The 25957-nt window shown below is 36.9% G+C and overlaps 2 long non-coding RNA genes across 3 annotated transcripts in view; one reads left to right on the forward strand and one right to left on the reverse strand.

Moving 5' to 3' along the window:
- The window catches only part of LRRK2-DT (LRRK2 divergent transcript), an 82057-nt gene that overhangs the window by 13499 nt on the left and 42601 nt on the right, over positions 1–25957 (reverse strand). Inside the window, exons 2-6 of one of the 2 annotated variants that reach the window (NR_186757.1) lie at positions 11989–12103; positions 7058–7174; positions 5955–6789; positions 3314–3454; positions 2590–2791 (exon numbers count right to left, since the gene is read on the reverse strand). This is a non-coding gene — a long non-coding RNA (LRRK2 divergent transcript). Of the gene's footprint in view, positions 1–2589; positions 2792–3313; positions 3455–5375; positions 6790–7057; positions 7175–11988; positions 12104–25957 lie in introns of those variants that run through there. The other variant, NR_186756.1, reaches the window with a different exon arrangement.
- On the forward strand, positions 975–12583 carry LINC02471 (long intergenic non-protein coding RNA 2471). Its single transcript, NR_146526.1, has 2 exons — positions 975–1079; positions 11984–12583. It is a non-coding gene; the product is annotated as a long intergenic non-protein coding RNA 2471 (long non-coding RNA).

Below are 25957 nucleotides of genomic sequence, written 5' to 3' on the forward strand. Positions count from 1 at the left end.
GGCTCAAACTAGACCGGGTTTCTTATACTGCATATATTTTTGTTTTGTTCATTTTCTTCCTCTTTCCTCCCACCAAAAAACAAACAAACAAACAAACAAAGCAAAAAAAAACTGGAATCTGGTTTAAAGGGTCAAATGAGAGTTTTAGGTAGAAATACAAACTCTTGTTTCTTAATTCCACATTATATGTGGTTACTGTTTTGAGCTGGTGAAATTTGTTGAACACTTAGAATAGTCATCCAAGAACCAGGGGGGACAGAATTTTAAACCAAATAGTCAGTGATTTAGATATAGTTTTAAATTTTTAAAGCTTATTTGACTTTACAGTTCCATTGAATGTAGGATGCTCCATTCTTTTGAAGACATAGGACAATTTGTTTGTTTCTGGACCAGACAAATTTGGATTTCCTAGACCACCGAATAATAATAATAATAATTGCTAACATGTACTTAACTTGCACAAGGTGCAGTAACATGAATATCATGTGGATTGTCTTATGCAGCTCTCCAAATAATGCTGTAAGGTAGCATTGTGGAAACTGAAACCCCTAAAAGTTAACTTGGTGGTAGCTTGTAATTGAGAAATAGAATGTAAACCAAGGTGGTTATACTTAATGCCCTGTGCTCTTAAAACAGTATCATGCTGCCTCCTTGGAGGAATCCTTAATTCAAGTAGGAAGATTTTTCCTTATTACATCTTTGCGACTAAGTTACTGTTTTTATGACTTTAGGCAAATCAATTGAACTGAGCAAGGAAGGTCTTGATTCAATGATTTCTCAAGTCCTTTTTCCTTTTTTTTTTTTTTGTCAAGGGAGTGTCCTCTAGCTGAGTGAAGTCATTTTTCCTTGAATGACTGACAGAATGGCTTTGGTTCACCTGTAATTCACAGTTTAGCTGATCCAGTGTACTGTAAAGTCTGTTTCACTCCACCAGCCAACAAGGAGCAGGCGGCCGTGGTTTTCTCATGTTCTGGGGGAAGCTGTTTGTCAGTGTTAACCTGGCTAACTTTGGACAGCTGCAACAACAACATCTATCCCTTGGCATATGGTGTGTTTAGATGCTAAACACTGCCTCATCTGTGAGTACTTCAGTTTTTGTTTTTCACACGAGCCGGGTGAATATAAAAATAGAGGTAAATAAAAAGAAATAACTGAATCAGCAACCTGGAATTTTCTCTCCTCTGATTAAAGACTGTTGTTAACTGAAAATGCTCCACTAGTTGTTTGAGGGTTTAAGACAGAAAAAGTGGGATGGAGGTGTTTGATAATTTGGTTGCTATGCAACCACTTTACAATTATGTAAGCTCCTACCATATGAGGTGATACAGAAAGGGTGGTAGAGTATGCTGACGCAGTGAGCACACAGAAGACTTTTTTCATGTGACAGAGCCAGAGTCTGAGATCTGCAGTTGCAGAATATTTAGGTAAGAAGTAAATGTCACAAATTATAAAGGCCTTTATTTATAGCAAGAATATGGGATTTCTATTACAGAGTTGGATGAGCAAAAGCTCACCAGAAACAGTATTAGTTTCAAGGAAGGAAGACACACACATCTGTCCTTTGAATCAGGACTTACTCTAACCAAAATTCAGGAAAGATTTTTTAAAAAAGGAAACTAAGAATATGGTATACTTTATTATTATTTAATTAGCCTTGCCCAGTTGAATCTTTTTCAGTAATATTGTAAGGTAGGTGGTACTATTATCCTTATATAAATGCAAAAACGTAGGCTTAAGCGACATTCAGTAATTTGCTCAACATCATATAGTTGGGAGTAAATCTGGGCTGTGAACACAAAACTTTTAGTTCAAGTCCAGTATTGTTCTCATTACATTATGCTTCACAGATGATCATGTACCCTCAGTGTTTCTTTCATATTATACGTTCTATCTTTTATGAAATCCACTGATCTGTTGAAAATCTTATTTTTATTTGTTTTTGCTAGATATCAAGGGTTTATCTCTGACCCTTCCTGGTGGGTTTACTGAATTTCAGAAAAGGCTACCTAATTGATTTTATTGCATATGTTGTAATTTATTGCGTATGTCATTTACTCAAATATGCAATTTATTGCATATATCATTTTAACGTTAACTGAAAGAGAGAAAGTGTGCATAGTCTAAGAAACAAGACAATTGCAAGTTATTCAAAGTGGTCTTTACAATTTAGCCAGCCAAAATCTCTGACTCATGGATCTAATGCCAAGATGACAGCCTCACTGAGGAAGTTTCTTGGTGCGTCTGTTTACAGCTTGGCCAAAGGGCAAGTGGACACTTCTTTTCGAAGGGGTGGTATTATGCTCTCTGGATTTAGAAAAGATTAGTTAACATCATAAAGCTAGAGTTAGATCAGCATGATGTTATGTAAAACATAGTGTTCCCTAATCTTGAGTCACAATAAAGATTAGGTTTGTGTGTTAGGATGATGGTTTATCACATTGTGTAATGTCTGTATGGCTTTCACATATCCCGTATCCATTCATTCTCATTATGATCAATGAAGTAAACAGGGCATATTTATTCACTTCATTTTTGCAGATAATTGAAGTAATTAAAGGAAAGGAAGCTTAGGGACATTAAATGACTTACCTGAGGTCCCATCTGGGCAAGATGGCAAGCCAGGCATCAGCTTTATCCTCTAAATAAAGTTCCAGTCTTTTTTCTTGTCCCTTTGCTGTTAGAATCACTGGTGGCCTTACCACTAACCTTCCTTCTCCTCACTCCTTATCTTCAACTTACTTCTTGCGGGTACTCTTTGTACTTTTGTCATGGGGAACCAGGGCCACTGAAACTAAATTTGTAATTACATGAAGTTAGATTAGGTTGGTTAGATCTTAAAATTGAACTATATGCAAATAAACATGGGGTTCTGTGTCAATTTCAAACACTTGAATGTGGCTTTCAGAAAAATCTTGGATGAGAACTCTAATGTAGAACTCAAAGGAATTACAATGTAATTATTTCATAATTGTCCAGCTGAATTCAACAAACCACATACTAGTGCTAATTTATGCATAAATCACAGTATTAGATACTGTGGGAGACAAAATAAATAAATAACATATTGTCTCTGCTCCTTGGTGGCTTATTAATCATGGGAAAAAGAAGCACATTCTTTACTTTCTATTCTTTGTTCCCTCCCTTGTTGCATTAAGGATTCAAGAAACTCACCATAATAAGCTTTAGTAAAACAAGGTCCCAGGTGCTCTGGCCTTCTTACGTTTTACCTCCCCCTCTTCTTTTAAATAACCAAATACAGTATTTTGTGTCACCAAGCTACATTTGGCTATAGGAAATTTAGCTTTCTCCTCACCCCTAATATTTCTGAGAATTCTCAGGAAATATTTAAATGTCATGATGAGCACCTCTCAGTTCCACTTCTTACTCAAGAAGTTCCTCTTCTTGCTCAATATTCTTTTCATAATCACTTCAGACTCTCTCTCTTCATTGCTTTCTGTACAGGATGTTCCAAAGCTCTTTAATTCACTTTATTATAAAACAGTGCCAACACAGTCCTGATGTATCTGCTGAATCAGCTCTATATTGCCACAATAATGACATGTAGCCAGCAACCACAAAACCTTAGTGGCACACAACAATATATGCTTTTTCCTTGTGTGTCTTGGGTGGTCAGCTTTGTGGCTTTGCTGATCTCTTTTGGGCTTGCTGTCATGTCTAGGAGTCAACTGGCTGTCATCTGATTTAGTAATAGCATTGTGGCAACTAGGGAGGCTCAGCTGTGCTTTCCATGTCTCTTGTTTTCTAGCAGGCTAGCTGGTGCATGTTCTCATGGCAGAGGAAGAGGGCAAGCACAGGCATGCACACTCGCATGAGTGCTTTTCAAGATCTGCTGTATCCCATCACCTAGTCTCCCATTGCCAGAATGCTGGCAGACCCCAGCATCAGAATAAAAGGACACTTCAAATTCACATGGAAAAGGCTATGGAGTGAAAGATAAATTTAGGAAGATAACAAGTATCTAAAGATATTGAGGGGACCGTGTTCCTGCCATTTTGAAAAATCTACCACATACTGAGAAAAAGTGAGAATTACTTTAGGAAGGCAGTTACCACCTAAATAACTAGAGTTTATAGTTTCCAAAAAGCAATTGTTCACTGGTGATCTGAAATGTAATACAGATGAGATAAAATGTTTTTTTTCCATTTTGGAAAATGCCTAAAGGACTTTTTTGGACTTAAAACGTAACTCTAATACAATATGTTTATTTCCAATGTCTAAAATATCAGAAGAGATGACTTTTTTTCCCTTCTTTTACTTTCTTTTCCTTTGTTTTTGTTATTGTTGTTTTCTAAAATGTCAGCTGAGAATTTGATATGAGAATGAATATTAATTATGTTCCATTAAGTTTACTAAACTTTTTGACAGAATGTTGAAATTGCAGATTGGATATATGTAGGAAAATACATGTAATTTGTGGTTCCAAATATCCAGTTATATTTAGGAAATGTCCACAGAAAACAAAATTAAAGTACATTTAGGGAAAAATATTTAAAAATTTTCTAAAACACTATTTTCCTCTTTAGTAAAAAAGATATATGTCCCTTTTCTTGTCACTAGAAAAAAAGGTTTCTATCATTACTTGTACCTAAAAAAATACATCAGTTCCAGCATCTCCTTTTATTCTTTTTTTTTTGCTTTAAAAATCTGTTGCTCAATAAAATAGATATACTAGTCATGGCATTTATATAAATAATAGAATCAGAATATTTTCTACCCTTAATTTTATTGAAGTGAATTTTGATTTGAAAAAATAATTTAAAGATCAGAGCATAAAACCAAACCCAATCTAATTTATTTATTCCTTTTAATAGGTTTTGGAAGTTTTGTAATGTTAAAAAAAATCAGGAGTGGGACAAGAAAATAATTTACTCTAACAGGAGAGATCAAGTTATAGCAATGGTGTCCCAGGTTGCCCTGTAGTTATTAACGTATCCTGAGCATCATTAGAGTCTATTTAATTTTGAAAACGCTTTAGATTTTTGTTGTAAAATATGAAATAAGGCAGTGGACATCTTTATGTACCAAGTGATAGGCACTACTAGTGACTTCTATTTTTTAGACTTTTTAAAATAGATCCATTTTACCTTTACTGTAGAAAATTTAGAAAAAAAAAAAAACAGGAAGAAAGAAGAAAATGAACAATCTCCTGGGCTGGTTGCAGTGGCCCATGCATGTAATCCCAGCACTTTGGGAGGCCAAGGCAGGAGGATCTCTGGAGGCCAGGAGTACAAGACCAGCCTGGGAGACAGAGTATGACACCTGTGTCTTCTAAATAAATAAATAATCTCCCAGAATTCCACATCAGGGAGCAGGAACATATCCTTCCAATTGTTTCTATGTATTGTGAACCCCCAAAATTTGAGACAGGTCTGTTAATTTAGAAAGTTTATTTTGCCAAGGTTGAGGACACACCCATGACAGAGTCCCAGGAGGTCTGGACAACATGTGCCCAAGGTGGTCAGAACGCATAGCTTGGTTTTATACATTTTAGAAAGACATGAGATGTCAATCAACATATGTAAAATGAACATTGGTTTGGTCTAGACAGGTGAGACAACTTGAAGCAAATGCGGGCCAACTCAAAGAGGGGAGGGGGCTTCCAGGTCACAAGTAGGTCAGAGAAAAACAGTTGCATTCTTTTGAGTTTCTGATTAGCCTTTCCAAAGGAGACAATCAGATATGCATTTATCTCAGTAAGCAGAAGGATGACTTTGAATAGAACGGGAAGCAGGTTTGCCCTAAGCAGTTCCCAGCTTGAATTTTCCCTTTAGCTTAGTGATTTGGGGGGCCCAAGATATTTTCCTCTCACATTTCTCCCCTTTTCTTTATTAAAATCTTTTGGAGAAAGCATTTTAGAAGAAAATGAGTCTCTGGTCCCAGGTTTCGTCTGCTCTCTCATGGCTGTGATGGTTTACTCTTAGACAGGTACATACCAAGTTATTAGGAAAGCTCATTTTTGGAAGGTTGTGAAGTCTCATGTCCTGTGAAGAGAAAATAGGGAGAGGAAGGGAGAAAAACAGCAGCAAACAAAAGGACAATCCTAGAAAATTGATATAGGCCACATTACTCTGAAGCCTTCAGTAGGCAGGTATGAAAGTAGCTTATGCATGTAAATAGGTTGCTGTTATTTTCTTCTGAAGTTTAAGTTGTCTAGCTTCAGTTCATAGGGCTTTACAAAAGCAGTTTAGTTTTCAGTGACTCCAAATTAGGAATAATGGGGAAAAAGAGCAGAAAAAAATTGAAAACATTATTTTGAAGACTTGTAGTTAAGAAAAATTAGAATTAGGTTTAAACTAGAAAAAAATAAAAATTGAAAAATGTTAGGCAAGACTAGAATCTAAAAACAGGTATACTATAGTTTTTGAAACATAGTTTTTCTCTCTCCAGTTTCCCATTTTTACTAAAGGCAAATCCTGGCAGAACTGATTTGTTTTATTACACTTGGCCTGATTATTTGTATACAGTGCAGCAAGAATAATTATTTTTTTTGCATAGGTTTTTAAATTGGCTTTGATGGAACTCTATTCCATAGAAGGAATCTCAGATAAGACTTTTTTTTAAAGCCAAGCCCAGCCATGGATTTGTGTCATTAAATACCTACAAGTTGGGTGATCTTCTCCTCTTGACTTTCCAAGATAAACCTAGGGCTCCTGAACCTGTCAGAAAGTGACATTCTTTACCTACCGCAGATCAGGAGCTATGTAGACCAAGGTATGAGGCCAGTTTTTCCAAGGGACTTTTATTGTCTCCATAAGTCAAGCTTGATTCCTTAAAGGAAAGCACATCATTCCAGTCAAAGCCTTGGTAAAACAACCAGTTTCTCCAACTGTGTCCTGTTACAAATAAAAACAGATTTTTTTTTTTAAGAGATGAGATCTCATTATGTTTCTCAGGCTGGTCTCAAACTCCTGAGCTCAAATGACCCTCCCACTTCAGCCTTCCAAAGGGCCAGGATTACAAGTGTAAGCCTCCACACCCAACCAACAGATTTTTATCGCACTTATGCAGATAACTGTATTGTCATAAGAATACTCACAAATAGTTTACAAATTCTGGAGAAATCAGTAGAGAGAAATAAATATGCTCCAAATTTTGTTTGTAGGAACATACTTAATTGTTAAAAGCTGTAAATAGCTTAAAAGTTTTCTTGACTCTGAGAAAAAAAAAACAAAGAATCAGCAATGTTTTATCCAAAAAGTTAAAAAGATTACTTTGTCTTCTACTAGTTCAGTTCATGCATTTTATTCCTGTTCTCCTTGATATTCATGAACATTTCAGCTCTCCATGAGAGTCTTGAAAGTTTCTTCCTCTATTGTAATGTCACAATCTCCAAAGTTATCAGAAATCTGCTTTTAAGGACACCTGTTAGAGTTCTATAAATGATTATAAAACCACCTTCTAAGGAGGACCAAAACAAGACAACAATTGTCCATGGATGACAAAATGTTTTAGGGCAACCATAGTCAAAGACACAATTTACAAGCAAATTTGTTACTTCTGTGGCACACAACAATTTAACATAACAATTATAATTATTACTGATAATGTACACTAAGTCATATCAGAATTATAGGAGTTTCCCATGATTTTGGAAGACATAGCAATGATGTATTCATACAAATACAGCCTAAAGAAAAATAAACACCATTTCATATTTGACAATGTTTCCTGTATAATTTTTATACCAAGTAAGCCAAATTATGTCATTTTTGGATGTTAAGGAATCCAATATTTTGAAGGATTAGTTAGATCAGAAAAAGGCATAATTTATCATTTGATTTTGGAAAGCTTGTCAAATATCAAAGGTGTAAAACACTTGATATCACAGGTCATTGTAAAATAAGTCATTTGTTTGACAAAAGTGATACCTCAAGCATTTCAAAAAAAAAAACCAGCAAAAACCTTCATTCTTTTGGAGAGGAGACTCAATTTTCCAAATAATAAGTCCTAATAAAAACAGTATCAAGCTGATTAAATTTGTTTTTCAAAATTTTATAAACAATCATCTATAAAATTTTAATCTTGACCATGAGATATAACTTCCATATACCTTTCTTAACCTTTATAACCTTTATGTAGGAGTTGACTAATGCTTCAGGAAAACCTTGTTAATCTGAAACAGGCCCATGTGCTGGCCTTGCATCAGTGTGCCTTAGATATTAATGATTAATTTATAGAGAAAGTGAACTTATGTTAGCTCTCAAAATTGGCCCTTACAATCTTACATGCCCCCCTCTTCCTCAATGATCCCTGGGCCTTGAGGACTTGAATAGCTTTAATTTCTGGCCCTGTGTTTCAGGAATGCAGTTTATTTTGATTGACATCTTCTAGTGGGCCTGATGATGGGGTTTCGATTGCTGTTAGTGTTTAAAATTTAGCAGGACTTGGTTGCAATGTGCCAAGATCATGCCACTGCACTCCAGCCTGGGAGACAGAGCAAGACTCTGTCTCAAAAAAAAAAAAAAAGTCCAATGAAGGAAAAGAAGAGGTTGCTATGCGAGGAAATATCAGAGGTGACTAATTTAGAGGCCTCTCTAAAACATTGAGTGAAGACTTAAAACGGCCGGGTGCGGTGGCTCATGCCTGTAATCCTAGCACTTTGGGAGGCCAAGGCGGCAGATCACCTGAGATCAGCAGTTCGAGACCAGCCTGGCCAACATAGCAAAACCCTGTCACTATCTAAATACACAAAAATTAGCTGGGCATGCTGGCTTGTGCCTGTAATCCCTTTTCAGACTCAGGAGCCAAAGCCCTGTAATTCAATGCCACAAGTACTTTAAAAGTGCATACAGAGAGATGCTTGAAGGTAATAATCTTAATTTTAAATAATATTTAAATCTCAGGGTTTTTTTCTAAGCAATCCAAAACTTAATAATAATGTGACTATTTGATTATATAAAAGTTTATTTTTTTAAAAAAAATCCTCTTATTTTGACTTACACAGACTGTTCATGACATGCTTGGAGTTTCTGGTTTCTCCTGAACATCCCTCCTTCTTAAATAACCAGTCATGTTACTCTAGGGCTAAATGTACCATACAAGATTCTTTCTTATGCGAAACTGTTTCTCTTTAAGCTTTCTTCCCCCCCAAAACACCTGAAAAACCCTTTTTATTTTTATAACTTTCTTTACATCTCTTCTGTTTCCTGGTTCCTTTTACCTTGTTTTATACATGACCTTTAAATAAGATTTGAATTAGACAAAAATTATTCACCTTTTTAGAAAGGACACACTTTTTTTTTTAGAAAGAATGTTTTCCTACAAATCTATTTTATTGGAAAATACCCAAATAATGAAATATCTATTATTTAATTTAATATAATTTTAGATTCTAAGTTATGGTGAATTTGTCTACAAGTATTTATCCCATTACATTTACCTAATTATTTTATTTTATTTGCTTACCTAGATTATTTATGAAAACTCTGATAGTCATCATTTAAGTTATGGAACTGATATTGCAAAATTATAACTGATAGAGTAAAAAAGATTTGACCTAACTGACTTCATCTTGCTTTTAACCTCCGGACTGTCCATGTTCATTCCTGGGTGTGGGCCAAACTAACTTTGGGAAGAACTTAGTTTATAGTTTAGCTTTGAAACAAAGGCAATAATAAACCTTACTGCCAGTGGAGTAGACTGCCTAAAGCCACAAGATTAGAAGTTATGGTCATCTTACTAAATTCGAGGCATAGCTATTTTCATTAAACTAATATAAATGTCTTATTTATTAAAGATTGCACAAGCAAAGATCATTCTGTCTTCTTCTGGGTTTATAGATTTTTAACCCCTTCACTGAATTTTGCACAGAAAATGGTGATACCTTTTTTCTGCATTCTCAGTTCTCTGTCAATATCAGGAAGTTTTTCTTTAGCTGTACATTTAGTTATTGCTACTGTTCCATCTTTTCTGATCTCTTCTTTGGAAACACAAACATCCGCATGCTCATTGTCATTCATAGCTATCATCTTCTCTTTAATTATTTTATGTTTGTCCATTTCCAGTTTACTCTGCAAGTTTATTCTTCACAGCTTTGTTACACAATACATGGTGCTTAGACCAGTAGTTGTGAGAGCTTGTTAGAAATGCACAATCTTGGGCCCAGAGAGAACTAGTGCATTGGAATCTGTATTTTAATAAGAACCTTGGATGATTTCCATGCACACTAACCTGTGAGGAAACACTGTTCTACAAGACTGATAAAATTTTCTACGGTATAAATTTTGCTGTTTCTGGCTGTTAGTGCAGAATTTAAGTTAATCATTACATTTTGAGTTTCCCTGCAGAAAATTTCTAATCTTAGCATTTTCCTTTCCATTATATTGTATTTACCCTCCTCTTTTCTTCTATTTTATAACTTTTTCATTGCATAGCACTACCTTTTGGTTTCTCTATTATTTTTCTGTGACTTTCTCTTCATAGAAGTCATGACACTTTTGATGATAATACTAACTTATTAAAACTTTCTTTAGGATCTTGTATTATTAGAAATATATTCCTTCTAATCATTTCATTACTTTTAATGGCAAAAACCACAATTACTTTTGCACGAACCTAATAGTTACTACTCTCTCATTAGCAAATATTCCTCCTAGAGGTCCAACATTTTCTGTGTGTGTTACAAATTCCCATACAAAAGATTCAGTCCTAAGTCTCAGTGTTTATTAACAGACTAGAGAATAAATGGCTGAGGTCCTACTCCTGGTAAACTTTTCAAATTTCTAACAGAAATGCAGACTGGTATGCTCAGATCAGCCTCATTTCTAGGTTTTTGCTGATGTTCACCAAATGTTTCTATTGTCTTATGGCATAGTTTTCTTCCCTTAACCCACTGGTTCTCTGATACTTTAAACTAGTGGGACCCAGGAAGAATTTTTATCTCCAGGCTTTTTTCCCCATATGTAACTGTAATTTTTTACTTTTGTTAACAATACTTTATTTTATTTGATTTCACTGTATTTTATTTTTATAGCGAAGGACTCTCGCCATGTTGCCCAGACTCATCTCAAACTACTGGACCCAGACAATCCTCACACTTTGGCCTCCCAAAATGCTGAGATTACAGGTGCGAGCCTGTACCCAGCCCTAACAGTACATTATTTAGGTCAAAGTGCTACTACCAGTTGCCCCTACATATTGGAAGTCTTTGTGAACATGTTGGAAACAAATAAGGGAAAGGTTTGGGTGGCTGTTCTCTGCCATGTCATAGAGTAGGACTGCGAAGTTGGTTTGCCTGCTGATTTTATGCACAGAGGGGCAGTTATAAAAGCTATTTTTAGGCTTTTTTAAAAAAAGTTTTTCATCTCTTTCAACAAAATGAAGCATATATGTGTGGAAAAGCTTGAATTATTTTCTCCTAATCATTTGCTAGCATCCTTATACTGGCAGAATTTACTTCCAGATTAGGGCACAAAGTAGTCCAAGAGTCTTAGGTTTCAATGTTGTCAGTTTTCCTATGCTTTTCTGTGTTTCATTGGCAGTTTAAAGGGAAATAAGAATAAGGCTTCCTTGGAGTAATTAATTAATTCTTCTTAATTCCAATCCATTTTACTTTATTTCATAAATTTCATCCAAGGAAAATGTCCAGCTTTTCTTTGCAAAATTAAAAATTGTCTGCCAATTAGCTTAAGATACTTGCTTTAAAATCCTTGACGTCTATCCATTTTATTCCAAAACAAATTGCCATTTTTACTGTGCATCATAGTTTTACTTCCAAATTGAAAATTTTACTTTATATTAATCTCCCCTACATCACCTATAAAATTCAAGCTAAATTGATTAAATTTTATATCAATAAAGGCAAACAAGCAAACATTAATATTGAGATATAATTTGAAGTATTAGAATCTTCTCATTCATTAAAAAATACACAATTGTCTTTTTTAAATAAATATGCATTTATATTTATATTAATTTACTTTAGGACAACAATTTAACACATTAATTGTCTCTTTCAATACAGCTTACCTAAAGTTAACATCTGATGACATGATCGCAACTCCATATCCTGAGTTGATTTCAACCTATGATGTTGGAATTTTCCACATGGAGATAAACACTGGGAAGCAGCTAATCATTCTCTCTGGATTTATAAGGAACAAATGGATAAGTGAAACTTGAAAACAATGGCCAAAGTACTAAGAACTAATGTTTCTTCAACAAAACAAATACTTTTACTTTAAGAACAGAAGATAAAAGGCCAAAGTTGTAATATAAGACAAATTACGGAAATATACACTTATACATATAAAACCACTCCTCTTTTTAAAAAATCATGCTTTTTAAGAAGAATCTTCTCATATCAGTGAGAAAGAAAGTTATCTTAACAAACAAAAAGTATTTTGAAAAAAAGCGTTCACATGTATAAGAAAGAAAATGAACAAATAAATAGGAAAAAAGATCTCTGGTTCAACCATATCAAAGCTTCTTCATGTTTGTTATTTTACTCTAAAGGACACCTCCCTGATCTTGAACTGATAATACAGTTAAAAGAATTAACAGAAAGAGAGAGGGATAGAAATGGTCACGTACAGAATGAAAAATAAAGGAAATTTTTTTCTTATTATTTTCCTAATTTGTCTTAATTCAAATGAGCAGAATAGAGTGCTCCAAATCAGAACTGTGACTCACTAGAACTAATATATTTTGTCAACATATTTATAATTGAACATATCAGTAATCTTTCATTTGAACAATTAATTGTGTCAGTAATCATTTATCTGCATAATAGTTATAATTAATTTGTTACATTTATTTAATTATTCATAATTTATTACAAAATGCAACATCAAGAATCATCTAATAACAAAACTTATTTGACAGTGTTTGATAAATATGTTTATGAATGTCCCACTGAGATATGTTAAAAACCACATTGATAGCAAAATTACTTTAAAATACATGCTTTATCATTATGGCAATAGATGCTGTTTATGACTCATCTTGTTTCTATTCTGTACGACAAACTCTCAGATCTTCTTTTTTCAAACTTCGATTTGATCTCTGAGTTTCTGACTTTCCCCTCTCTCTTTCTTACTTATTTTTGAAAAAGGACATTTTGACACTACCAATAATGATAAAAAAAAGAGAGACGAAAAAGTGAGATTAGCAGGTAATTTTTAAAGTTAAAGAATAGTTATATTTAGGCAGGGCACAGTGCCTCACGCCTGTAATCCCAGCACTTTGGGAGGCCAAGGTGGGCAGATCACATGAGGTCAGGAGTTTGAGACCAGCATGGCCAACATGGTGAACCATGTTTCTACTAAAAATACAAAAATTAGCCTGCTGTGGTGGCACATGTCTGTAGTCCCAGCTACTGATGAGGCTAAGGAGGGAGAATCACTTCAACCCAGGGAGCAGAGCTTGCAGTGAGCTGAGATCGTGCCACTGCACTCCAGCCTTGGCGACTGAATGAGTCTCTGCCTCAAAAGAAAAAAAAACAGTGATATTTATTCATTATTGCCACAATAGGATAAAATGATTTAAGTCCATATAAATCTAAGTAAACCTGCAATTGTTTATATCCTAAAAGGACACACAAGGAAGTACGTTTGAAATTAATCATGTGGCTTTCTTCCCACCCCAAATACTCCCCCACTCTCCAGATTCTTTAGAGTTCACTTTTCAAAAGGATTGAAAAAACATATATTTCAAAGTTTTTTTTTTTAATTTAAGGAATTGAAAGAGCAGAAAATATATACTAATCATTCTTCTTAAGCCCTGTGCTCTGTTTCATTTTCCAAAGGCGTCTACTCTCAGTGGTTTGTTTTTGCTCTTTTTGTGGTTATGGTTATAACTAAATATGGTAATCATTTACCTCGCTTTGTTGCTGCATTTACCTGCTATGAAGTATGAGGAATTTAGTTTACTTGCACTTCTACTTTCAAAATTATTGTTTATAGCCTCAATATTAGTTCTCCTTGAATGATGCATTTGAACTCCCTATTTGTATTGAAATAGCTACTATCTTCTACTCTGAAAGATGAATAAATTAATGCACTTACTTTGGACTTCTTTCCATCTCTGTTCTTGATTGTCTTTTAGTTATATAATTGTTTTACACTGTCAAGAATTATAATTCTTATATTTTTGCTGAAACTATTTTTCATATCTCAAATTATAAGTATTGAGTATTTGACTTCAATTTGTATAATCAACTTATGTACAAAGCATGGAAGGATTAATCCACTGTAGAATTCATGGTGTCATGTGATTGATGTCAAAGAAAAGAGAAAATATGATACCATGTCATTTAAACTTTACCACTTGAAGAAAAATTTCACAAGTGCCTGAATATAATAAATTTTATTTTAATATTTTTCTAGCTTTCTTTACTTCTTTTGAGTCATACTCAGGTGCTGGCATTTTGGGGACAACACTTTGGTTTGTTTGGGGTTATATATTTTATTTTTCTGTAGTCTAGCCTAGTCTACTTTTATTTATGGTATATGGGTAGTTTGCTCTCTAAGTTCTTGCATGCTAACAGATCTTTGATTTTTGCTCATATCTGATTAATTATTTGGATGAATAGAGAATTCTAGGTATAAATGGTTTTCTGGAGTCTGTCTTACAGTATACTTATGAGAAATCTGGCCTCTCAGTTATTTTATTTCTCCTTCAATGATCTTGTCCTCCACCTCATGCCAACTTCCCACTTCTATGGTCTTAGACATTGCCATGACCAACCGTCCCATAATCATATTCTCAGATATTCCATTCTCTCCATTTAGCTATCTATAATTATCATATATAGATATAAATTATCATATATCTCCACAACTTTCTAGGGCACACATTATAATATTTTCATAAAATGCCTTATTTTCTTTTATGAATATGATGGGAAATGCTAGATCAAGGAATAATGAACAAAACAAAGGAATATAGATGTTTCATGTATTTATTCAACATTTATTGAGTGCTGACCAAGTAACAGACACAATGCAGACTCTGAGCCTGTAGAGGTAAATGATCAACAACAGCAATAACAAATCTCAGGTCTCAAATCCTAGTAAAGAATTTCACAATCTAGTACGTCAAAACATTAGTATGCTTAACAACTATTGTATTCATGGTGCAAACAGAAATAGGCCTCTACGCTGAAAAATAATAAAAATATGAGAAAGATTTTTCAGGATATATAGCGTTGTTAAGTTTCTTGAAAAAGTTTGGGGAAATATTTTGAGAATAAGATAAATTACCTATTACTAGAATTTTAGGTTTATGTTAAATTTTCTTTACAATAAGTAAGGGATAAAGTAAGTAATACTTTAGTGGTTTAACAATATGTCCACATATTTTTGGCATCCTTCCCTTTAATAATTGGAGCCTAATTTCCCTTCTCTTGAAAATAATCTAGAATTAGTGACTAGCTTCTAACAAGAATGTGGCAGAAGTGACAGCATCCGACTTCTGAGACTAGGTCATAGATGACATTGCTGATGCCACGCTCCTCTCTCTTGTATTGTTTGCCCTGGGGAGAGTCAGCCATCTGCTATGTCATGAGGACACTCAAGCAGCCCGTGGAGAGGCTCACATGGGGATAAAGGGAGGCCTCCTGCCAAAATCCAGCCACAACGTGGCAATCATGCGAGTGAGCCACCTCTGAAGTGGAACCTCCAGCCCAGTCAAGCCTTCAGATGACTGGCACTCACTTTCCTGACTGCAACCTCATGACAGACCCAAAGCCAGAATTGTCCAACTAATGTGTTCCCAAATGTTTTGACCCACAGAAACTGTGAGAACAATCAATTTCTATTGTTTTAAAGTCGCCTAAGTTTTGGGGTAATTTGTTATACTGTGATGAACAGCTACATACAAATTTAAGTTTATTAAATTAGAAGTTGAAGGAGAGAAATGAAAGTCAAATTCTAGTACTCAGTAAATTCTAAAAGCTTATGATACCAGTTAGTTTTTACATCATAACATAATCGCTTCTTTTTTTTTTTTCTGAACAAAATTGCTATGGAAAAACCCAACTCAAAGGTTAGTGAAAGAGAAATATAGTTTTCATTTAAAAGGGAAAGTACAACTTTGCTGTAGGTCTTAGATAAAAATAGATTGTATAATCTGAAAACCTCCCCACAACTTTTTTGTGAGTTTATATTATTTTCTCCTTTTAAAAGATGGTTAAACTGCTAACTAAAAGGAATTTCAGAAGAGAACTGCCATAAAAAATTTTAACTTCTTATACAATGGATAGACTTATTTGCTATTTGTACAATATACATACTATGAAATACAATGGTTTGCATGATTTAGAATTGTGTAAGTTTTTTTGAAAATAACTGTGGAGGTATAAGTGGAAGCTTGACTCCAAAATCAGACTTTTCCTAACTCATCCTCTTTCAACTGAGAAAACTGCCTATCGGAACTGGGTGCATAGGGAAATATCAGACAGAATATGGACAACTGCCAGGACTTGTGGTTTTTTTTTAAAGGACTTGGGCAATGACCATGGTTGGTGTCATAATAAAGCACATAGATTTTTCTTTTAAAAAACATTTGTAAAAGGGAATGGATTAAAGAAGTTCTTTGATCTCAGAAATGGCATATATCTATGTAGGTTGTTTTTTGTTATATTTTCAATTGACTACCTTTCATACTTGGGATTCCCTCAAAGAAATAAAGTTCTCTGAAAAAGCTTTTGATACTTTATTAAAAAATCCATCGTCTGGGCGCGGTAGCTCATGTCTGTAATCCCAGCACTTTGGGAGGCTGAGGCGGGCGGATCACGAGGTCAGGAGATAGAGACCATCCTGGCCAACACGGTGAAACCCCATCTCTACTAAAAATATAAAAAATTAGCCGGGCGTGGTGGCGGGTGCCTGTAGTCCCAGCTATTCGGGAGGCTGAGGCAGGAGAATGGCATGAACCTGAGTGGCGGAGCTTGCAGTGAGCCGAGATGGCGCCACTGCACTCCAGCCTGGGTGACAGAGCGAGACTCCGTCTCAAAAAAAAAAAAAAAAAAAAAAAAAAACAACTCCATCATATGAAGAATATGAAATAAAAAGAATTGGTTGAAGTACCTGCATCTAAAAAAACACAAAACAATGTCGCTTAACAATGGTGAACTTTCGGCTGGGCACGGTGGCTCACGCCTGTAATCTCAGCACTTTGGGAGGGTGAGAAAGGTGGATCACCTGAGGTCAGGATTCAAGACCAGCCTGGCCAAAATGGTGAAACCCTGTCTCTACAAAAATACAAAAATTAGCTGGAGTTGATGCTGGGTGCCAGTAATCCCAGCTACTTTGAAGGCTGAGGCAGGAGAATCACTTGAACCCGGGAGGTGGAGGTTGCAGTGAGCCAAGACTGCGCCACTGCACTCCAGCCTGGGCAACAGAGTGAGACTCCATCTCAAAAAAAAAAAAAAAAAAAAAAAAAAAAAAAATTAGTGAACTTTGTACTTGATCATTATTTCTTTAGATACTTTCTTTAGATACTTTAAATAATGATTTTACATAGATATATATGTATTTGTACATCTCATGGAAAATGTTAAAGGCAAGTCAGATATGAAAGAAAACTAGTTGTTCTAGAAAGAGTGGCAACACTCCAAAGCACAAATGAAAGAAGTCTTGTTGATGGAACTAAAAGAAGCACAGGCAATTAAGAAAAATGTTGAGAACTTAGATGTCAAGCTGGAAAAGAAAAAAAATAAGTTAATGAGATATGCCCATCCAACTGTTTTGAAACATGTTGCTCAGAAAAAGAGGTCAAATTTATTTGTCTCTTGATCAAAATTTATGACTGGATCCCCCCCAAATCAAACATGGTTTGTAAAAGCAATGTTGTATAATCGTTAAGACTGTGACCTCTGGAGCCACACTGCCAGGATTCGGACCTCAGCTATTGCTGTTATTGGTTAAGTCTCTGTGCCATTGTTTCCTCATCTATAAAACAGGAATATTAAGAATTGGATCTCCCAAGATTGTTGGAAAGATTAAATGAGATAAAATGTCTAAAAGTCTTAGACTAGTGCCTAAAGCATAAATATGCTATTATATGAATTACAATAATGGTAATATTATTATTAATTTTAACAATACTACTACTGCTAATAATAAAAGAGACAAGATCACAAGAAACAAACTAGAATGACTTCCCTGGAAGAACCCAGGGAAAACCCAAAACCCAAAACCTCCTGAGTTGTCCTCTCACCAGTGCGACACATGAGACTATGTTGGATTAAATCAACTCTTAAAAGATTGAAGGAACTAAGCCATTCCAGGAGAAGGTAGTCCTGGCCATAGGCACCAGGTAGACCCTGATGCTGAGACTGAGGTGAAAACAGAATTAGAAAGGAAACAATACTGAGCTTCAATTTCTTTAAACTTAAATTTAAAATATGGACAGAAACTTTACTTTTGGACTTTAATTTCTTTCTGGGATTTAATAATGGAAGTGAAAGGTTCATTTAAAAACTGGGCTGAGGATGTTATTTCATAACCAATCTCTGGTGAGTGTTTTAAGACTAATGGCTGAGTACATTTTGAAATAGGAAATAGAAAACGATTTTTTGGCGTAGGTTGTACCATGTCTATAGAATTAGATAATTTCTGTCTCTTTCTGACCTATTTCAAAGATCACTGGGTCCAGTGCTAAACTCCCCAGTTCACTGAGTAAGGAAGACACAGGGGAACAGACATAAGCAGGCTCATGAAGGTGGGGAAGGCTGGCCCAGATGCTCAGCTGGTCTCCCCAAGAGAAATGCATGCCCAAACATAGGCTTGGCTATTTCACCCAATGGGATATGAAGAAATAAAATATTGGAGAGTGAGAACTTCCCTGTTTTTCTCCTGAATTTTTGCTTCTACTAATAGGTTTAATAAAACTTCTACAAAAATATCTTTCCCCACTTGAGGGAGAGTTGGAAGGGAAGGAACACTTCCATATTTTCTCTCCAATCCATTCCTTTTTCAATCCTGCATTAGATTCTTAGGGCTGCCATAACAAAGTACCACAAACTGGGTGCCTTATTATTTCATAATTATTATTTCATAGTTCTTGAGGCTAGTATTCTGTAATCAAGGTGTTGGTTGGGCCATGCCTTCTTCTGAAGGCTCTAGGAAAGTATCCTTCATTGCCTCTTCCTAGCTTCTGGTGGGTGCTGGCAGTTGGCATTCATTCCTGGCTTTGCAGCTGCATCATACCAATCTCTGCCTCTGTCTTCACATGGTCTTTTGCCCACCTGTGTGTTTCTGTGTCCTAATGTATCTCTTCTTATAAGGACACAAGTCATTGCACCAGGGTACACACTAATCCAGTACGATCTTATCTTACATTGTTTTTTGTTTGTTTGTTTGTTTGTTTTTTGAGATGGAGTCTTGCTCTGTTGCCAGGCTGGAGTGCAGTGGCACGATCTCAGCTCATTGAAACCTCTGCCTCCTGGGTTCAAGTGATCCTCCTGCCTCAGCTTCCTGAGTAGCTGGGACTACAGGTGCATGCCACCACGCCCAGCTGATTTTTTGTATTTTTAGTAGTGATGGGGTTTCACCATGTTGGCCAGGATGGTCTCGATCTCTTGAACTGTGAACCACCCACCTCAGCCTCCCAAAGTGCAGGGATTGCAGGTGTGAGCCACTGTGCTAGGTCAATCTCATCTTACATTGATTACATCTGCAACGACCTTATTTCCAAAGAAGATCACATCCGTAGGTTCTCGGGTTTAGTACTTAAACATTTTTTGGTGGGGCGCAATTCAACCTATAATACTGTCTCATAGAAGAGATGGTAATTCTGGTAACTTAGAACTTGACATTCATTGATACATATTGATTGTTGGGTAGGCTCTTTATGCTTTATGGTTCAAGCTGGAGGATATGCCACACTTAGTTTACTTTTTGCATCCAGGCACAAGTGGCTCCATTGTGTTTGGTGTGGCTGAGTGGTATTTATACCTGGCAGGCCTACCCACATAGAAGAGAGAACCACTGTTCTCTGACTCAGATACAACTTCCTGCAACTGGGTGATCAATTCATATTGGGCCCAGGCTATGGAATCAGCTGCCTTCAGTTCAGAGGAAAGGGACTAGGAAGTCTCACTTCTGCTTCAGATCTAAACTGCGTTCTCCAATGCAGTTTACTAGAAACATCAAATTTGGAGGGGTGAAGCCTGCTGGTCTGGTTTAATCAGGTAGTGCTTCGTTTCCTATTTAGGTTGTACTCCTGCATATGTTCCAGTACTGCATACCTATAACTCACTAAAAGGAAGAACTTATGGAAGAAGTGGCATTTGAGCAGAGATCTGGACACAGTGAATTAGCCAGCCATGGTAAAGTGTTGAGGGAGAAAATTCCAGACAGGAAACAGCAAGTGAAAATGATGAGAGGTGGTAACAGAGAGAATCTACGTAAAGGTCAGAGCTACCTGAGAAGAGTGAACAAAGTGAAGTGGGTTAGAAATGAGGTCATAGAGGGACCCAGGGTATAGAGTATGTAAGGCCTTGTAAGACCTGGCAAAATCTTTGTACTTCATTCTAAGCGTGATGGGAAGCTCTAGACAGATTTTGAGCAAAGGGGTGACATTCCATGATTGAGGTTTGGAAGGGTCATCCTGGTGTGGTGTGGAGGAGAGAACATAGAGACAGACGGAGAGGTAATGGTGAGGAAAAGTCAGATTCAGAAGGCGAAAATGTCAGGCTGCGGCTGTTTGGATGTAGAGTGACAGATGAACACTGTTTGATTCCAAACAGTGGACAGATCATTAAGTAAAAATTCTTGTTAATTATACAGGTTGAATAGCACAAAGTTGTGTCTCCCTGGAGACAACTTCAGAATATGACCTTATTTGGAAATAGGACCTTTGTAGATGCAATCAAGTTACACTGAAGTCATACTCAATTAGGGTGGTCTCTAATTCAATGACTGGTGTACTTGTAAGAAGAGGGAAACGTGAACACACATGCACAGTCGAAAGAACATTGTATATAGATGGAGGCAGGAATTGGAGTGATGCAGCTGCAAGCCAAGAAATGCTAAGTGTTGAAAGAAAAACTTTAGACAAATTAAATGTAATACAGCTTGTTTGGGCAAATAATGATTTGTGAATTGGGCAGCCCTACCCCTTCAATCAGAACAAGCTCAGAGACAATCTAGCACCACACTACCATGTGGTTGGAGAGGATTTATGGAAAGAAAAAGGAAACTGACCTACAGAAATTGGAAGTGAGGTACAGAAACAGCTGGATTGGCTATAGCTTGGCATTTCTCTTATTTAAGCAGGGTTTGAACAGTTGGCTACCAATGATGTGCTAAATCTCTGTGACTGTTGGAAGAGTAAGTTACACTCTGTTTACACGTACAGTTAGCTACTGTTCACTATGTATGGAGAAACCTTTAGGCTGAACTTGACGTCACCTAATCAGTTCTTCCTGCTTGCTACACTGCTATACAGACAAAAATCAATTCACTGAGACCATGGCATTGCAATAAAGACAGAGTTTAATTGACACAAGCCCAGGCATATGGGAGAACTGGAGTTATCATTCAAATCAGTCTAAGAACTCAGAGGCTAGGGTGTTTTGGGTTTTGTTTTGTTTTGTTGTTGTTGTTGTTTTTGAGACGGAGTTTCGCTCTGTCGCCCAGGCTGGAGTGCAGTGGCGCGATCTTGGCTCACCGCAAGCTTCGCCTCCCGGGTTCACGCCATTCTCCTGCCTCAGCCTCCGGAGTAGCTGGGACTACAGGCGCCTGCCACTGCGCCTGGCTAATTTTTTGTATTTTTAGTAGAGACGGGGTTTCACCGTGTTGGCCAGGATGGTCTATTTTCTGACCTCATGATCCGCCCGTCTCGGCCTCCCAAAGTGCTGGGATTACAGGCGTGAGCCACCGCACCTGGCCCATGTCAGACTTCTTTTACTGCCATAATCTTTGCAAAGGTGTTTTCAAACTTAAAATATGTAAAGAGGCAGCTTTAGGCTAAATTTAAGTCAAGGATTGCCAGTAAACACTAGATGCAGAAAGAAGCAAAAGAGGATCTTGTCCTAGTACCTTTAGAGAGAGCATGTCCCGGCAGACACATTGATTAGAGGTTTCTAGCCTCCAGCCTGGCCAGCGTGGCAAAACCCCATCTCTACTAAAAATACAAAAATGAGCCGGGCATGGTGGTGTGCGCCCGTAGTCCCAGCTACTCGGGAGGCTGAGGCAGGATAATTGCTTGAATATGGGAGGTGGAAGTTGCAGTGAGCCGAGATTACCCTACTGCACTCCAGCCTGGGCAACAGAGTGAGACTCTGTCTAAAACAAACAAGCAACAACAACAAACACCTAACATGCTAATTAAGATGAATATTGATATTTTGTTTTAGTTTGCTTTTCTTGAGTGCCATGACTTTAAGTCCTTAAGTCCTCTGAGCAGTAGCTCTTCTTTTTAGTTTTCTGTTCACACCCTTAGCTTTTTCACCATTGTTGTCTTTGTGTTTCCTCATTGATATGTATGAGACCTTTTCTACAAAAGGTTTAACTCAAGGCTTCATTTCCTACAGTGTAGTAAGGTAAACTATGTGTGGAAGTCTTTTGCAAACATTTCAGATTTTGTTTTTTATTTAAGCACAGATTTAAAAAAAAAAAAAAAGATATGGACATGTTTTAAAGGAATTTGAAAGAAAATTTCTCCAAAACTAGAATTGCTCATTTCACTTGCATGGTATTATAATATTGGAATGTATAACTGCAAAAATACTGCTTTCGGTAAAACTAAAAAAAGAAGAGATTCCTGTGGAATATATATCTTTTCATACACTATGCTTGCATATGAATTTTATCTCTTCAAAGAAAAAGCCATGCTTTTCTAGTGCTTCTATTCTATATGTATGGAGGAGGCAGAAGAGGAGACTTCAAAATTAGTGACTTTGCATAAGCACTGAATTTAGACTGAGATAATTTTTGGAATGAACTCTGAATTTAATAAAAATAAATACATAGTTTAAAATGTATAGTACATGGTATGCACTTTGAAGCTATGTACTTTCTTCAAAAAGTTGATGTTTAATGTTTTAAGTATAGAAATCATGTTTATAGTTTTTCTGATTACTTGCATTAAGCTAGAACTGATTCCAACTACTTATTCATACATCAAACTAAACTTTTAAAAACATGTGTTGTAAACATCATTGGGCTTTGTCTATGTGTATACACTGTCTTCCCAAATACAAAACCGAAAGTCATGGGCCATGCTTACCTACTTCATTTGTATAGAAGACTCTCAATTTTTGGATGGATTGTCTTAAAAAGAGTTATTTGTAAATTGTTCAAAAATCTGAGATGAATTAGCCGTGACTTAAAGATAAGGCAAAAATGTCACTGAATGTTCTTTCACTGTTATACTAATCAGCCTGCATGAGAGCATTTAGAGGTTGCAACTTTCGTTGAATTTACTTTTTTTTTTTTTTTGAGTTGGAGAGTTGGAGTCTCATTGTGTTACCCAGGCTGGAGTGCAGTGGTGCGAGCTCAGCTCACTGCAGCTTCCACCTCCTGTGTTCAAGGGATTCTCATGCCCAGCCTCACAAGTAGTTGGGACTACAGGTGCGTGCTGCCAAGCCTGGCTCATTTTTTGTATTTTTTTTTTTGTAGAGATAGGGTTTCACCATGTTGGCCAGGGTAGTCTTGAACACCTGACCTCAAGTGATCCCCCTGCCTCAGCCTTCCAAAGTTCTGGGATCACAGGCATGAGCCACTGTGCCTGGCCAGATTTACTCTTTACTGTTAACAGGCGCTCAGACTGCAAAGTTAGACGTTGCTTTCTCAAAGACTGTTGGGTTGTAAATTATTTTTTTCTCATAGAGAAACAAATATTATCTTTCCAGTAGAAGAGATAAAGCCCAAAAGTTATAGTTTTATTGCCCTGACAGGTATTAATCAGTATTTTAAAAATCTGATTTAGCAACCTTTTTTCAGCATTCTTTCTTCGTTGACTTTTATATACTAGTCTCTCCTTTCTTCTTTTGAACCAACTTTACCATTCTTCTGGTTCCCTCATTAAGCAGGTAAATATCTTTGATGTATGCTCACTAGCATTTGTATGAGGGTCTTGTTTTTAACTTTGGAAATACATACTTTCACAAAATGAGAACCTAGAAATAATAGATACTGTGGTTAAGCCCCAACCATGTCTGCCCCCAAGTGAATTTCCTCCCCAGATGAACCTGATATAACACACAATGACATTTTTAAAAATTAGACAATTACAATGACAGTAATTTAAAAAAATATATTGAGAATTTTATTTTAATCAATTTTTTTTTCTTTTTTTCTTTTTGGGGACAGGGTCTTGCTCTGTCACCAGGCTGGAATGTGGTGGCACGATCATGGCTCACTGCAGCCTTGACTTTGGGCTCAAGTGATCCTCCCACCTCAGCCTCCTAAGTAGCTGGAACTACAGGTGTGTGACACCGTGCTTGGCTTGCTTATTTATTTACTATTTTCTGATAGAGATGGGGTCTCCCTATGTTGCCCAAGCTGATCTCAAACTCCTGGCACCTCCCACCTCCACCTCCCAAAATGCTGGATTACAGGTGTGAACCACTGAAACCACATTTGAAAAATTGTGACTGAGACAGTGAAAGAGATCTATCTTAACTGACTCCAACTTGCTTCTAACCTCCAAGCTGTCCTTGTTCATTCCTGGGTGTACACTGAACTAACTTTAAGAGAAACTTATAGTTTAAAACAAAGAAGGTAACAGCACTTTCCCAAAGCAGACCTTCTTGCCTGGGGATTAGATTGCCTTTGTAGGGCTAACATTAGCCACAAGATTAGAAATTATGGTTTAGGAGTCATGCAGCTGCAGCAAGAATCTGACCCTCCCTAAACTGCTACTAAGATCAATCCTTGAGAAATTTTGCAGTCCCTGCACTTGATGGATCAGCTGGCACTACCCAGACTGATTAACTGGATCATCTGACCTTGTGGGCCCCATTCAGGAACTGACTCAATACAAGAAGACAGCTTCCAATCCCTATTATTTCATCCCTGACCAATCAGCATTCCTGGCTCACTGGCTTTCTCCCACCCACCAAATTGCCCTTAAAAACTCTGCTCCCCTAATGCTCAGAAAGACTGATTTGGGTAATAATAAAACTCTGGCCTCCCACACAGCCAGCTCTGTGTGAATTACTTTTTCTCTATTGCAATTCCCCTGTCTTCATGAATTGGCTCTAAGCAGTGGGCAAGGTGAAGCCCTTGGGTGCTTACACCACCCTGCCCGGATTAATGAACTTTCTGATGACAGGTTTGATTAGAGGATGAGAAGAAAGTGGTGTCAACTGGAACATGCCAAGGTTCACAAATTTGGAAAGGAGAACTTTATTTGTCATAACGGGCTGCAGTCTCTGCAGGGTGGCCATTTTGAAAGGCTGGGAAGAGTAGCCTCTGGCCAGAAGCCAGAAACTGCACTTCACAGGAGGAGCAAAAAGGATAGGAATTTGTGCTGAGCATGGTAGCTGAATAGCCATATTTATGAAACTCTAGGAGGATCCATTAATATTTATGATAGGCAAAACATGAACATGTCCAATTGAGCTTCATCCAGTCATGAGTAGCATGCACAAAAAAATGGCAGCATTAGCATGATCTATGGGTGGAAATTTTGGGCCTCTGATATCAAAAGGTGAAGCACAGAACACAAAGAGTCTCACTGTGCAGCCTCCATAGACTGGCTAGAGCCACCCTGTGGTCAGTGGTCTCCTATCGCTAGTGAAGGCTGGTGGATTGTTTTGTTGAAACCTCAAAAGCGAAAGGCAGCATCAGGTGGTTGGTTGAAAACAGCTATGCAGGACGGGCGCGGTGGCTCAGGCCTGTAATCCCAGCACTTTGGGAGGCCGAGAAGGGTGGATCACGAGGTCAGGAGATTGAGACCATCCTGGCTAACATGGTGAAACCCCGTCTCCATTAAAAATACAAAAAAATTAACCAGGCATGGTGGCGGGCGCCTGTAGTCCCAG

This window comes from Homo sapiens, chromosome 12 (assembly GCF_000001405.40).
Source record: "Homo sapiens chromosome 12, GRCh38.p14 Primary Assembly".
Lineage (NCBI taxonomy): Eukaryota > Metazoa > Chordata > Mammalia > Primates > Hominidae > Homo > Homo sapiens.